Raw genomic sequence first — 16,415 nt, 5'->3', positions numbered from 1 at the left:
ACAGTAGTGTAGACCTCACGGGGTGCTCTGAGGATCAAGTGAATTGACGCATCAAGTGGGTAGAAAAGAGCCCGATGCACGGTGAGCACCATGCAACGACTTTCTGTCATCACCATCCTCCACTCCACGTGTTTGCCAGCCAACATTGCATTTCCTGAGACCCAGCCCCATTGATGTACATATAGGCAGCTCCATTATTTTTATCATTGCATCCATCTCTTCAACCATACATGAACAGTATATGAAATGAGAGGGGGAATTACTGGGTCATAGGATATGCAGGTTTTCAAATTTGCTAGAGAATGACAAATGTTTTTCAAAGTCCTTGCATCAATTTAGACTCCAGCCAACCGTATGTCAAGTTCCCATTCTTGGCAGCCTTGCTGCTATTTGGCATTGTCAGATTCTTCTGTTTCTGTCAACTTGGATGCTTTGAAATGACATCTCATTGTGGTCATAATTTTCAGTTTCCTGATAGCTAATTAAGATATACATCTTGCCATAATTTTATTGCGCATTCCTGTTTTGTTTGTTGGTTGGTTGGTTCATTTTTTAATTCATTTCATTTCTTTGGATTTATTTTTTTTAGCATTTTCTGTTGGGTTGTTTTCTTGTAGATTTGGGGGAATTCTTTATATAGTTTAATCACTAACCAACCAGTGTAGACTATATAATATATAACGAACTTTGTCAGTTATATCCATTCTAAATACCATCTTTTAATTGTGATTATATTTTCACTTTTTTCATATTGTCTGTTGATATTGTAAAGTTCTAAATTTTAATGTTCTTGAAATCACCAACTTCTCATTTTGTGTTGATGTCACTTCTTATTTAAGCAATCCTTCTCTACCCTGACATCCTAACTCCATTGGACTCTATTTGTTTCAGAAGTTGTGAAGTGAATTCTGCATTTATATGACACTGTTTTCCATGGTGGGGACAGATCTTTGTGTAGGGTATGATATAAGGAGATGCCATTTTTTTTTCATACGGATAACCAATTACCCCAACAATTGTTGGCCTGTTCATTCTTCTTTCCCATGGACATACAACGTCATCAGTGTCATAGTTCAAGCATCCACATTTACATTATTATATTTCTGGGGCCTACATTTCATTCAATTTGTAATTCCAACTACAGAGGAATAAATGCATCAAATCTTAGTGTCTTAAAAGAAAAACATATTTTGTATAAGACTTTACAATTTTGAAAGCTTTCAGGAAACAGTGTGTCTTCATCCATGTAGCATCAGTAGGCATGCCTTGGGGCTGGAGGACCTGGTTCCAGGATAGTGCACTTCATGTCTACAGAGTTGGTTCTGTCTGCAGGTCGGGGTTAGCCGGAGCTGCTGACCAGTGGTTCCAACTAAGCAGTTTCCTCAGCAAGCTTCTTGCACATAGAAGTGAACAAAGAGAAGCTGTGTACCTTGTGGTATAAATTGGCATGCTTTTAATTGCATTTTCCTAAGTGGATTTTTTGTGATATAGAAATACAAGTGATTTTTGTATGGTGATTATATATTCTGCCAGCTTGCTAAAGTCTCATTAATACACTTTTCTGGTGATGTCTGTGTAAATAACCCTATTCCCTGTGAACAGTTACTTGGGAATCATTCTTTCATCTATACATATTATTCCTTTCTCCTGACTTACTGCACTGGTTAGGACCTCCAGCCCCACAAAGAATGCTAGTGATGACAGAAGCACACTTATCTTCTTCCCGACTTCAAAGGTAATGCTTTCACTATTTCATCATTTCATAGGATGGCTAATGTATGCTGGGGTTTTTTTTCATCCAATAGATTCTACTTAGCTGGGTAAGGCAGCCCTCTCCTATCCTTAGTTTGCCAACAGCTTCTTTGTTATCATGAAAAGATACTGATTTTATTAAGTTATTTCATTGTTATCAATTTTGGTGATCTTATAGTTTTTCAACTTTAATCTGTTAATGTGGTTAGTTTCACTTCCATACACCAAATTTGTGCCCTGTAAATAACTCATTTGTCATAATAGTTTACATGTTTCACATGTTACAGCACTGGGTTTACGAATATTTTATTTAAGATATCTCCATTTAATGCATCACTGAGATTAGCATGTCATTTTATTTCTTGTACTATCTCTTTCTGGGACTTGATAACACCATTATACTAATCTCATCAGAAGAAATACCAAATATTTATTTCCCTATAATCTGGAAGAGGTTGAAAAAATTAATTTTTCTCCATCTAAAATGGTTGAAATGTTCCTCTAAAACTGATTGGGCCTTAAGGAATCTTTATAGAGATTTAATATTACTGTTTCAAATTCTATAATGGTTTCTTCTGGAGTTAATTGGTAATTCATATTTTTCTAAGAAGTATCCATACTACCTAATTTATCACTTTTATTATAAAATAATTAATAATATCTTCTTTCTTACCTTTTAATATCTGGCAGCAATGCTCTTCTGTATGTTTCATTCTTCTTGCTCTCTGTGCTTTAGTCTGGATATTTTCTACTGAGCTATGATCCAGCTCACTAACCCTTTCTTCTACTGAGAAGAATTGGCTGTTAAGCTAACTTACTGAGTTCTTAATTTCAGTTGTTAATTCTACAATTTAACAATTTCCATTTTTAATAGTTTCCGATTGCTGTTGTAATAAATTACGACAAACTCAGTGGTTTAAAACAACACAAATTTATTATCATATGATTTTTTAAATGTAACATCACATATTCATGGATTGAATGTGGGCATCTTTTGCAGGAGGGAGGCACTGTCCTGCCTGACACAATCTGCCCTCTGGCCTCTAAAGATTCACATGTGTTCCACCGGGAAAACACGTCTATTCTATCTTAGGATCACCAAAGCCTCATCTCATTACAGCATTAACTCAAAGTTCAAAATTGTATCTAAATCTCATCAGTGCACAAGTCCTAAATCCTTGCATATAAAAAATTTAACATTTAAGATGAAGGTCTGCATACACCCATCTTGTGTCAAAATTATTCCTGATCTGTGAAAGTCAAGAAACATGTTCTTGTGCTCTAAATAAAATAGTGAGACAAGGATAGAGTCACAGCTATAGATATTTCCATTCAAAAAGGAAAAAAAAATGGAAAGGAAGACAGAAGTCCCTGGTCCCAAGCAATTTTGCAATCCAAGAACTCCATTTGAGTTTCAAACGGCATGGGAATGATTTCCGTGACTCACAACTTTGTCCTCTGGGCATGCAGCTTCACCCTCAGAAACCATCCTTCTTTTTAAACAAAAGGAAGCATATGTTTGCAGCCGGGTAGCACTTAGAGCTAGTTTTATGCCTGTGGAATCTTTGGGGTCCAATAGCCTTCTTTCTTTTGACCCTTTGGTACAAGCTGGCAGGCAGCTTTCCTGCCAGTAGAATATTTTTAAGGCCCTTGTAGCTCTCCATGGGGATTAACTCCATTAGACAATGGGCTCCTCTGCAGATCTTCCCCAGATAATCATCTCTATTTCTGGCTTTGGCTGAGATGGCTGAGGGGAATCCGGGAGTCACATGCCTAATCTCTTCGAAGAGCCTCCAGTGTAACCAAATACTCTGACCTTTGATTCCTGAAAGCCACTAGCACAAATTTTATTCAGCCACACCTGTGGCTCTTGGCAGAGAGGGCTGTTCTGACATTTCCTGAATCTCTTAATTTAAGCACGATTTGCAATCTCAGTAGCCTGAGAAGTCCGCAAAACAGCAAGTCTTGGTTCCTTTTTGCTTAACAGCCCTTGCTTCAATCAATCCTTTTTCCTTTCACATTTTAGTGTAAGTAGCAAGAAAAAAAAACAAACAAAAACGACTGCACCATCAACACTTTACTTGGAAACCTCTTCAGTTAAATATCTAAGTTCATTGTCCAACGTTTTGCTCTCCACACAATTGCAGAACACAATTCAGCTAAGCTCCCTGCTGCTATTTGACAAAGGCGGCCTTTCCTTATATTCCTTAATGTCCTTCTCATGTCCTTGTGAGTTCTCCCCAGCCACGCCTTCAATGTCCATATTTCTACCTACTTGGTATGCATGGTGATTTCTTCTCCTCTAGAACGATAAGGGCTTTCTCTACCATGCTCATTTCTTTTTGAGACTTGACTAAGGTCACCCTTAGCATCCATGTTTCTACAACAGACTGTCCAAGGAAATCTCAGCTTTTTCTATCATGTCCTCAACATTCCTCCAGCCTTTCCCTACTGTCCAATTCCAGAGCCATTTCACTTTTTTTTTTTTTTTTTTTTTGAGATGGAGTCTGGCTCTCTTGCCCAGGCTGGAGTGAAGTGGTGCAATCTCGGCTCACTGCAAGCTCCACCTCCCGGGTTCAAGAGATTCTCCTGCCTCAGCCTCCCGAGTAGCTGGGACTATAGTCACCCACCACCACGCCTGGCTAATTTTTTGTATTTTTAGTAGAGACAGCGTTTCACCATGTTGGCCAGGCTGGCCTCAATCTCCTGACCTTGTGATCCACCCGCCTCAGCCTCCCAAAGTGCTGGGATTACCCATTTCACATTTTTAGTCCTTTGTTATGGCAGAACCACACCTTCAAGTACCAAAATCTGTATTTTTTTGAATTGCTGTTACTCCAAATTTCCCCAAACTTAGCAGCTTAAAACAACACAAATTTATTATCTTATATACTTGAGGAGAAAAGTCCAAAGTGGATCTGACGGGGCTAAAATCAAGGTATTGGCAGGGATATGTTTGTGTCTACAGTCTCTAGGAGAGACTTGGATTTGCTGCATTTTTTGGCTTTAATAGCCTGCCTGCATTATTTGGCTCATGAACCAGTTCTATCTTCAAAGCTAATAATAGCCGTTCAAGTATTTCTTATATCACATCACTCTGACAGTAATTCTTCTTTCTCCCTCCTCCACATTTAAGGAACTGTGTAATTACCTAAATTAAGGATAATGTCCTTAAGTTGTGATCAGCTTGTTAGCAGTTTTTCTTCCATCTGCAATCTTAAGTACCTCTCGCCATGTGACATAGCCCATTCACACGTTCTGAGTGCCAGGACATGGGCACCTTTGGGAAGTTGTTATCCTGCCTTTGCCCACCATCCCATTGGATTCTTTTTTGTGGATTTCACTTTAAATACTTATTTAAAGTATTTCTTCAAATAATACTTTAACGTGTTAATCACAATTATTTTAACAACAGTGTCAACCATCTCTGATATCTGGGTCATCTGTGGGTCTGAGTTTGATTTCTGTTTGTTCCCTTTGCCCTGTCTCATATGCATGCTTCCTTTCTGTTGAAAGCTGAACAATGCCCATTAAAGTTCCTGAGACTCTGGCTGCTACTGCCTTCCTCTGAGGAGAGTTCTGTATCCTCTTTTAGATAAATGGAGCCAACAGATCACTTTAATCCAAACATGGACTGAGATGTTCAAAGAATGAGCTGCCATCTCTGTAAAGCTCAGGCTACATCTGTTTCACCCCTACTCTTAGAATATAGCAAGCTAGAGATCCCAACTGAGATGGCAGGGTGCTTCCCACACTCCTGCTGCATGAAAATCCCTCCTGCTGTGCCCTCCCTAATCACTGCCTCCTGTCTAAACCTCCTGTATCGCAACTTCCTCTCTGGATAGTCTCACTTTCTTCTGCTTTGAGATCCAGCTGAGAACGCCTCCACCCCGTGTCCTGTCCATTTGGGACAATTTCACTCACATGCCTGCAGCACAGGCCTGGGATTCAGACCAGTGTTCCTTGATACTTTTGCGATTTTCTTCCTAGCTCAAAAACCCCAGCCCCTCTGATTGTGTGTGGTGTCATCTGCTGTCATCCTCTGAGAGCCTGGTTGCCTCCCGCATTTGTTAAAGACATGAACCCACCTTCCCACCTTGGCCTCATGTCTGCCTTCATCGTCCTCCCTGACATCAGCATCCCCGAGGACCGGCCTCTCCTCTCCCCACCTGCCATGTCTTCCTTACCCCCATGCCCTCCTACATCATATCTTGGGCAATCTTGTCTTCAGAATTGCAAGAGCCTGTCAGCCTCAGCTCACCACCTCTCTCCCCACATCCTTCTTGTAATGCCCCCATTTCATCATCTTCATGGCCAAAATCAAGCTCTTTTCATTTTGGTGTGGCATCAATTGACCATCAACCACTTTTTCCAGACCTGTCTCTCCCTTATGTCCTGCTTCGCCCTTTGCTTCAATTAGACTCCAGGACCATCATTAGAAACCCTCTAATGAGTCCCTGTCCCACCTCCCATTTCCTCAGACCCACTAAAGCCCCTTTCTCCTTCTGCCCTGCCCCTCCCCAACTGCTGAATGTGCTCACAGTGACACACGCTACTGCGCTGGCTGGACTCACGAGTCCTCAAACAGGCAGGCGAAACCCCCAGCAATCCTAATGTATTTGTTAAACGTTTCCCTCTCCTTTGTGCAGAAAAGCTATTTCACACCCTCCCTGACCTCCTCAGCCCAGCAACATCTCACCCTTCCCGAGAAAACAGCAGCTGCCTCCCTTTTCACCCCAAACCCACCTGATTGCCTCTCCTGTGCTCACCCTGGCAGCCTTGCCTTTTATAGCCCAGGGAGCTGCCCCCTTTTATGAAAGATCCTCTCCTCCCTTGCAGTTCCAGTGATAAAGCTGTGCACGGCAGCCATGGCTATCCAGCTGGCCCAGCCCAACAGAGATCTGTGGTTCCTCACTTGCCTGCACCTTCTCTGCCTTCTCCTCTTACCATCACCTCCAATATCAGCAGGTCCTGGTCCTTCTCTGCCTTCTCCCCTCACCATCATGTCCAATATCAGCAGGTCCTGGTGCTCTTTCCCTGAAAATATCCCAAGTCAGTTTCCTTCTCTCCACCTCAGCTGCCAGAGCCTGGCCCCACCATCATCCTCTCCCAGCTGGACAGGTGTTCCTGCCTTCCAAGTAGGGTCCCAGCCTCCACCCTTGGAGGTAGACCTACAGGTAAAGCAGACACAAGGGAAGGAGCCTGGTCTGGTATCCAGCAGCTCACATCAAAACGGTGCTGTGAGGTTGCCTATTCCATGTTCTGGCTGTGGCTTGTGAAGGCAGCAAGAATCCCAACTGCCCCACGAGGCTGCCTTGAGCCGAGACAGACTTGCAGCAAATTGGGCCAATCCAGGTTGGCCTGAAGTCAAGTTGGAACATGAGCAGGAATTGATAAAAGCTTCCCTGGAATTAAACGCTATTTAGATTGCGTTTCCAGTGCCAGGAAAGAGCTGGCTTCAAGATGGAGCAGAGAGTAATTTTTACCAAATAAATGATGGGAATGTCATGCCCTGAGACAGTTAGAAAATCTCCTTGGCATCTGGTTTTAATTATACTATCTGCTCACTATCGTTCCCAAGACAGTATTTCTCAAAATTCCAAGATATGATTTCTATTCTTTCATTGAACATTTGCTAAATGCTTACACCATAACAGACACTATACAAGGTACTTTGGAAACAAGGAGGCATTAGACGTGTGCTGACAAGAAGCCGTGTGCAGGAGAAGACGCTGTGCCATGGGAGTCATGGAATCCCTTGCCGAGGACCCCTCTCCTGACACCTCCAACTCCACACTGAGTCCTCCATGAGGACAGCCACCATTTCTTCCTCCCCATCCAGCCATTGGTCAGTGCCATTCCCACATCAGGCTGCAGGTTGACGGGAGGCTTCTTAGGGAACCAAGAGGAAGGTGAGCAGGCACTGGCCCCAGCCTGAGCCTCACAACCCTGCAGAGTCACAACCTCCCTGGCTGGGGAGCATGTAGGTATACATTGAACTTCGCCATGGTATCCCAGGAATTGAAGCCAGTGTTTTTCAAAGAGGATTCCACACAGGCATTATTCCTGCGAAATGACCTAAGAAGGAGGGAAAATATAGGTATCTGAGAGTGAGGGAAGAGAGAAAGAGGAAGCCTGGTGTCTCAGCAACTGATACACAATGTCTTCCTTCAAAGACCCATGGGACTTTCTAGGAGATATGTATTAGAATAAAGTGGCTGAGCTGGATGCAGAGACTCACGCCTGTAATCCCAGCACTTTGCAAGGCTGAGGCAGGTGGATCACCTGAGGTCAGGAGTTGAGACCAGCCTGGCCAACATGGGGAAACTCTGTCTCTACTAAAAATACAAAATCAGCCAGGTGTGATGGTGCGCACCTGTAATCCCAGCTACGAAGCAGGAGAATTGCTTGAACACGGGAGGCAGAGGTCGAAGTGAGCTGAGACGGCGCCATTGCACTCCACCCTGGGCAACAAGAGCGAAACTGCATCTCAAAACAAACAAACAAAGAAGCAAACAACAACAAAAAAGAATAAAGTGGCTGAGACTGTTAGCAACTCTTCGCTTTAACCCTCCATTCTCCACACTCACGTGGCTGTGGGTGCTTCCAGGCCTCCTCTGCTGGCCTCTCCCGGGGCTCTCACCTGATGCACCTGTGAGGCAGCCTGGAAAGGTATGCATGTTGGAAACCAAATGGAGAAGACAACTATGGAAATAAAGTTGGAAGGGCAATTTGAGGAGGACGTCCTCAATTGAGCCAGAAGAGATTTGTAGCAATGTCATCAGATGCAAACACACCACCCTTGGTTGGACTCAGACCAGGGACCAGGTTGCCCGAGTCTCCCTATGCCCAGAGTGAGCCACACGTGTGGGTGGGGAGCGGGTGTGCCATGCTACTCAGAATCCACACAGGTAGGCAGAGCGCTGAACTTGCTCATCACTTGCTGGGACAGTTCCAGCTCACACGAGAGGAGAGAGTAAAGGCTGGACACTCCGAGGCAAAATATGCGCTGAGCCAGGCGTGGGGGAGGGAGCTGGCCTGAGCCACCTTTATCGATGCACACACCGACCATGCAGCAAGGCTTCCGTCCGTTGGATCTAGTCCTCATGACAGCCCTGTGAAGTCATATCATCCTCAACTGTAGAGATCTTGGATTTGGGGATTAGGAATTTAGGGTTCAGAGAGGTCTAGCCACTTCACTAAAGTCACATCAGAAGCAGCTGGGAGCCAGGGTTTGCCTGACTCCTAACCAGGTCTCTCTTCTGCAAGCTGCAGCCAAGGTGGGAGAGGATGGGGCAATAAGACACGGGTAAGATTGTGGGACCAGAAAGGCACTGAAGCTGTTGTGAGGCTGCAGGAAAGATATGGCTGTTCCTGTGGCTGACCTGAGCCAGCCGCCAGGGTCGGGGTGGTGGGTAGAGAAAAAAGAACCTTCAGGGGCAAACAGCCTGGGAAAAATCAGAGGTCTGGGTAACGGCTCTGCCCAGACATCTGCTGGGGCCAAGCTGGGGTGGGCAGGGGGTTTCATGTCAAATCAGCAGATGAGAGGTCTCGGGAGGTTCTGGGGAAGAAGGAGACAAAGGCCAGGCAGGTGAGGTTCCCGTCTCAGGAGCAATGAAGCAGGAAGGTCAGTGTAATGAAAACACAGAGGAAGGATATAATTCCCAACTCCATGTACTGCAGAACTACAGGAATTAAATTACAACCCTCCACTGAGAATAAACCAGCTAGTAACAATGAGAGCAGGGCAGGTGCCCCAGGCCCTGCAGTTTCGGGTACAGCACCCAGGCACACCCAGGAATCTGGCTCGGCAGCTCCCAGACCCTCCAGTGGGGCATTGGTCTGAACAAAAGACTCATGCCATGGACCTGGCCTCTGTTTCAAGGAGAGGCTGCACCCGCTCAAACTCACAAATGGGCCCACAGAAGCTGAAGAGCAAGCTCCTTTGCTTCCTTGCCTAGAATTGGTGTGTGGATGCCAGACTCCCTGTGATGTCGCAGAACCAGCAGCTGGCCAAAGGGCGCTTCAGTTTTGCAGGTTTTCATGACTGAAGCTGCTGACCCAGAGAGGGCATCATATAAATCAGACGTATCCTGGAGAGTTCCGCTGAGAAGAAATGGAAAAGAGGAGTGCTTCAGGGATGGGAGGTGCATCTTGCATGTTGTTAAGAGATGACTACAGATACATCTTTACATTTTCATTAAAAAATCAATAAGTCAAGTCATAATTATTGACTTTCATTCCAGTACACCATTTCCAAAATCTTTTCAGAGAACTGACCTCATTTGGCCCTCGCTGAAGGGACCTGCTGGTTTCAGCACTGACAGATCAACAGTTTGGAAGCTGTCACTCCTTCCCCTATGAGAAGAAAAAAAAACGGAACCGTACTGAAAATGAGTAACTTTTCTTAGGGGCCTCGGAGAGTGCAGGTCACAGGGCAAACCACCTCCCTGAGATCTGGAGTGATGGCTCAATCCTGGGAGCCAAAAGCACCACGAGCTGACTTGGAACAGACGCCACAGCAGCTACACACTGGTGGGGGTACCTCAACGGACATTTCGACAAACTGCTGAAGGCAGATTGAGGACGAGTGTGAGAATGAGAGACTCCTCAGGGCCACTGTCTTAGGAATTGCACGCTTTCATGAGCATCACGTCCACGGAGCCCCCCGGGTTCTTGGGGTGCAGATCCAAGGTGGGTCCCCACACATCTATGGCATGGGAGAGAGGAGCTCTTGTGAAATGTGCCCAGAGCATGCTCCATGACCAGGACTGCAATCCAGCCAGGAAGACTCTCAAAGCCTTCTCCGATGTGAGCAGAAAGAAATTCCCCAATTCCAGCCTCCTCCAGCCTTGAGAAAGGCCACGCCCCAGAGAAATGGATCCACTAAAAGCCTGAGATTTAATTGTAAAGTTACACAATGCTTCTCTTCTACACGAGCAGGGCTCCAGTATAATATCAGGGCATTACAGCAGAAAGAGCTTCAAGACAGAGGCTGTCTCTGAAGGAGAGTATGTAAGGAAGTCTCTGCTCTAGAGGAAGAGAAAAACAAAGACAGCAGAAAAATTTGAAGACTCTGGCACCTGGAGTTCCAGTGAATATTACATACAGACAAACTCCAACCCAGATCAACACAAAAGCTCAGATAGAAGTCCTATTGATTCAGCTCCTATTAATCAATCAGCACATCCCACTTTCAACAAACAATTATAAAACTATTTTGCCTATTGTCAAGAAACACAGTCTGAAGACAAATCAAGCATCAGAATCAGAGTCAGATAGGATACTGATTTTGGAATTCGAAGACAAGAAATTTGACTATAATTGTAAAGTAAAGGCTCTAATGGAAAAGACAGACATGCATTAACAGATGGGTAATGTAAGCAGAGAGATGGGAAATTTAAGAATCAAAAGGAGGCCGGGCATGGTGACTCACACCTGTAATCCCAGCACTTTGGGAGGCCAAGGCGGGTGGATCACCTGAGGTCAAGAGTTTGAGACCAGCCTGGCCAACATGGCAAAGCCCCATCTCTACTAAAAATACAAAAATTAGCTGGACATGGTGGCATGAACCTGTAATCCCAGCTACCTGGGAGGCTGAGGCAGGAGAATCACTTGAATCTGGGAGGCGGAGGTTGCAGTGAGCCGAGATTATGCCACCACACTCCAGCCTGAGTGACAGAGCGAGACTCCATCTCAAAAAAAAAAAAGGGAAATAAAAAACTTGTACCAAAAATGAAGAATGCCTCTGGTGGGTCCAACAGTGAACACACAAAGAAAAGAATTGGGAGGTCCACAGAAACTTCCCCCACCACCCACCACTAAATTGCAAAGAGAAAATTAGTCAGAAGACAAAAAGGAAAACAGAACATCCCAGAACCACATGACAGTTTCAAAAGGTGTGTCTTAGTCTGTGAGGGCTGCTATAACAAAATATCATCAACTGGGCAGCTTAGAAACAACAGAAATCTATTTCTTACTGTCCCAGAGGCTGGGAAGTCCAAGACGGAGGCATCGGCAGATTCCAAATCTAGTGAGAGCTTGCTTCCTGGTTCACAGACGGCACCTTCTTGCTGTGTCCTCACGTGGTAAAAAGGACAAGGCAGCTCTCTTGGGCTTCTTCTATAAGGTCACGAATTCCATTCACAAGAGCTTCATCCTCATCTTCCAAAGGACCTACCTCAAATCAAATCATATTGGAGGATTAGGTTTCAACACGTGAATTTGCGGGGTAACCCCAAAATTAAGGACATAGCAAAGTAACATACATGTGTGATTGGACTATCAGAAGAGGGAAAAAAGATAACAGAGCAGAAATGAATATGTATCTGAAGTCATAATGGCTGAGAACTTCCCAAAATTAATGACAGACTCCTAAACACAGATCCAGGAAGCTCTCTGAACAGCAAGTAGGATTTTTTTTAATTACATCTAGGTATATCACATCCATATTATATTCAAACATCAGCAAACCAAAGACAAAGAGAAGAACTTGAAAGAAGCCAGAAAAAAGCATAGCACCTCCCCTATATGAGAGCAGGAATAAGAATTCAGCAGACTTGGAAGGACAGTGGAGTGAAATCTTTCCAATATTAAAGTATTGACATTTTAAAGACCCAACTCTAGTCTCTTTCCCTTCCACGCACCACCAAAGATCCTGTTGTCACCATGGGCCGCCGCCCCACCCAGTGTTACCAGTATTGTAAGAAGAAGCCATACCCATTCTTACTTCTGCCAAGGTTTCCCTAATGCCAAGATTCGCCTCTTTGACCTGGGTTGGAAGAAGGCAAAAGTGGATGAGTTTCTACTCTGTGGCCACATGGTGTCAGATGAATATGAGCAGCTCTCCTCTGGAGCCCTGGAGGCTGCCCTATTTGTGCCAGTAAGTACATGGAGACAGAAAATAATATAGGCCAGAAATTCAGACTCCATAAAGAAAGAAAGAACATTGGAGAAGGGATAAATGAAGGTAAAATAGAATTTTTATTTTTTATTCTTAATTGATTCAATAAATAACTGTTCAAAGTAACAGCAACCATTTATTAGATTATTATAGTATATGGAATAGTAAAATGGCAAAAGAAATGGAAGGGAGGAATTGAGAATATTCTAAGAACCTGCACTACACAAGAAGCAGTGTAGTGTTATTTGAAGGCAGACTTGGGTTAGTTAAAAATGTGTATTGAATACTTTAGAGCAGCCAGACTGGAAAAAAAATGTATTTTTAAAGGAGTATAATAGATAAACTGAGAGAGGAGATAAAATGGATTATTTTTATTATTACTATTATTTTGAGGCAGAGTCTCACTCTGTCACCCAGGCTGGAGTGCAGCGGTGCGATCTCAGCTCACTACAACCTCCCGCCTCCTGGGTTCAAGCAATTCTCATGCCTCAGTCTCCTGAGTTGCTGGGATTACAGATGTGTGCCACTGCATCCAGCTAATTTTTTATATTTTTAGTAGAGACAGGGTTTCACCATGTTGGCAAGGCTGGTCTCAAACTCCTGACCTCAGGTAATCCACCCACTTTGGCCTCCCACAGTGTTAGGATTACAGGCATAAGACACCGAACCAAGCCTAAAATAGAATCTTATAAAATGCTCAGTTCAAAGCACAGAAGGCAAAAAGAGAAATTTCTTTAAAAAGAAACAAAGAACAAGTGTAAGTAAAACGCAAACATCACAAACATAGTAAATATTAATAAAATTATATAAAAATCACTTTAAATGTGAATAGTCTTAATATACCAATTGAAATACAGAGATTGTCAGAGTGGATTAAAAAAACCCAAGACCCAAGTACATGTTATTACAAGAGACCAACTTTACACATAAAGACTCAGCTAGCTTAAAAGAAAAGGGATAGAGAAAGCTATACCATGTTAATACTAACTAAAAGAAAGCTGTCTGTAGTCACTTTATGAATCTCAAAAGCAAACTTCTAAACAAACAACCAAAAATTATCAGTGATAAAGAAATATTGCATAATGATAAAAGCATCAATTCTTCAAGAAGACATAACAATCTTAAAAGTGTGTGTACCTAAAGACAGAGTGTCAAAATACTTCAGGGAAAGAAAAGGGAAGAAGAAATGGACAAATCCTCTATTACATTGGAAGACTTCAACAACCCTCTGTCAGCAATTGATAGATCAAGCAAGCAGAAAATCATTAAAGGTAGAGTTGACCTGAGCAGCACTATTAATCTACTAGATCTCATTGACATTTATAGAACACTTCATCCAACAATGGCAGAATACACATTCCCTTCAAGTTCACATTCAATACTCGGAAAGATAGGCCACATCCCAGGCCATGAATACACCTCAAAGGCTAGGAATCATACAAAATATGTTCTCAGAAAACAAAGGGCTTACACTGGAAACCACCAGCAGAAAGATAGCTGAAAGATGCTGAAATATTTGAAGATTAAATAATACTCTTCTAAAGAACACATAAGCCAAAGAAATTATAAACAAACTTTAAAACAATTTTGAACTAAATAAAAATAAGATAACATCAAAACTTGTGGGATACAGTAAAATCAGTGATTAAAAGGAAATGCATAGGATTAAATACATATCATAGAAATTAAGAAAGATCTAAAATCAATAATCTAAGCTCCAACGTGAAGAAGCTAGAGAAAGGACTACAACTGAAGCCTATAAAGCAAGAACAAGAAAAGAAATAATTTTAAATTTTAAACAAGAAGTCAATGAAATTGAACCAGAAAAGCAATAGAGAAAATCAATAAAATTAAAAGGTGGTTCTTGGAAAAGTTTTGTAAAATTGATAAACTTCTAAGCAGGCTAACCAATGAAAAGAGAAGACACAAATTGCAGGTGTCATAGAAGAAATAGTGGTCATCGCTACTGAATCCAGGGACATTAAAATGGAAACAAAGCAGATATAAAAAACTCCAACTCCACACATCTGATCTTTTAGATAAAGTGAACTGATTTCTTGAAAGACACAAACATCAAAACCCATACAATGAGAATTATATCATTTGAATAGGTAAATAGCTAATAAATAAATTAAATCAATAATGAACAACCTTTCAACAACAATGACAACAGCAATGACAAGAAACAAAGCCCAGATGATGGCATTGGTGAATTCTACCAAAAACCTTTAAGGAAGCCATGATACCAATTATCTACTGACATAGTCGATGTATGTCCCCACCCAAATCTCATACTGAAATATAATCTCCAGTGTTGGAGGTGGAGCCTGGTGGGAGGTGATTGGATCATGGGGGCAGATTTTTCACGAATAGTTTAACACCATCCCTCTAGGTACTGTCCTCCTGATAGTGAGTGAGTGAGTTCTCATGAGATCTGGTCTCGCTTTCTCTTGCTCCTGCTTTTGCCATGTGACAAGCCTGCTCTCTCTTTGCTTTCTGCCATGACTGGAAGTTTCCTGAGGTCTCCTGAGAAGCAGATGCTGCCATGCTTCCTGTACAACCTGCAGAACCATGAGCCAATTAAACTTATTTTCTTATTGGTATAAATTATAAATTATCCCATCTTGGTATTTCTTTATAACAATGTGAGAATGAACTAATATGGCTACAAAATATTACTCTTCCAGAACAGAGGGAAGAACTCTTAATTAATTCTCTGAGGCCAGTCTTACAGTAATATCAAAACCAGAAAAAGATGTAACAAGAAAAACTGCAGAGCAAAATCTCTTATAACCAAACTACTTAACAAAATAGTAGCAAGGCAAATTCAACAATGCATAAAATAATTGTGCAATGTGACTGAGTGGGATTTATCCCAGGTATGCAAGACTGTGTCAACATTTAAAAATCAGTCAGTGCAACTGATTATATCAACTGTCTATACAAGAAAATTCATGTGATATTTATTAGTGCTAAACTTGACAAATTCCCACATCCTTTCATGACAAAAACTCTCAGCAAACTAGGAATAGAGAGAACTTCCTCAACTTAATAAAGAACATATTTTTTAAAAATTTTGGCTAATATGACACAGTGGTGAGAAATTGAATGCTTTCTCCATATGATTGGAAATAAGGCAAAAATAAGAGAATGTCTTCTCTTTACACTCTTATTCAACATCATCCTGAAAATCCTAGCTAGTGCAGTAAGATGAGAAAAGGAAATAAAAAGTGAGTATATACATTTGAAAGGAAAACATAAAACTGCCTTTATTCACAGATGACATGACATTATTCATGTAGAAAATCCGAAAGAATAAACAAAAATACTCTTGGAACTAATAAGCAATTATAGCAAGGCCACAGGATAAAAGACTAATACACAAAAGTCAGTTGCTTTCCAATATACCAACAATAAACAGCTGTAATTTGAAATTTTAAAATAATAGCATTTACAATAGCCCAATATATAGTTAAATAGAAATATATAAGTATATAACTCACAAAATATATATAGGATCTGTATGAGAAAAACTACATAACACAGATGAATAAATCAATTATCTAAATAAAGGAATAAATACTTTGTGTTCGTGGATTGCAAGACTCAATGTTGTTAAGATAACAATTTTTCTCAAATTGACCTAAAGATTCAACACAATCCTTATCAAAATCCCAGGAAATTATTTTGTAGATGTTGACAAACTGATAAAGTTTATATGGAAAGGAAAAAGGGATAAAATCGTCAATACAATACTGAA

This window comes from Homo sapiens, chromosome 22, assembly GCF_000001405.40.
Source record: "Homo sapiens chromosome 22, GRCh38.p14 Primary Assembly".
Lineage (NCBI taxonomy): Eukaryota > Metazoa > Chordata > Mammalia > Primates > Hominidae > Homo > Homo sapiens.
Note: the sequence above shows the minus strand (reverse complement) of the source record.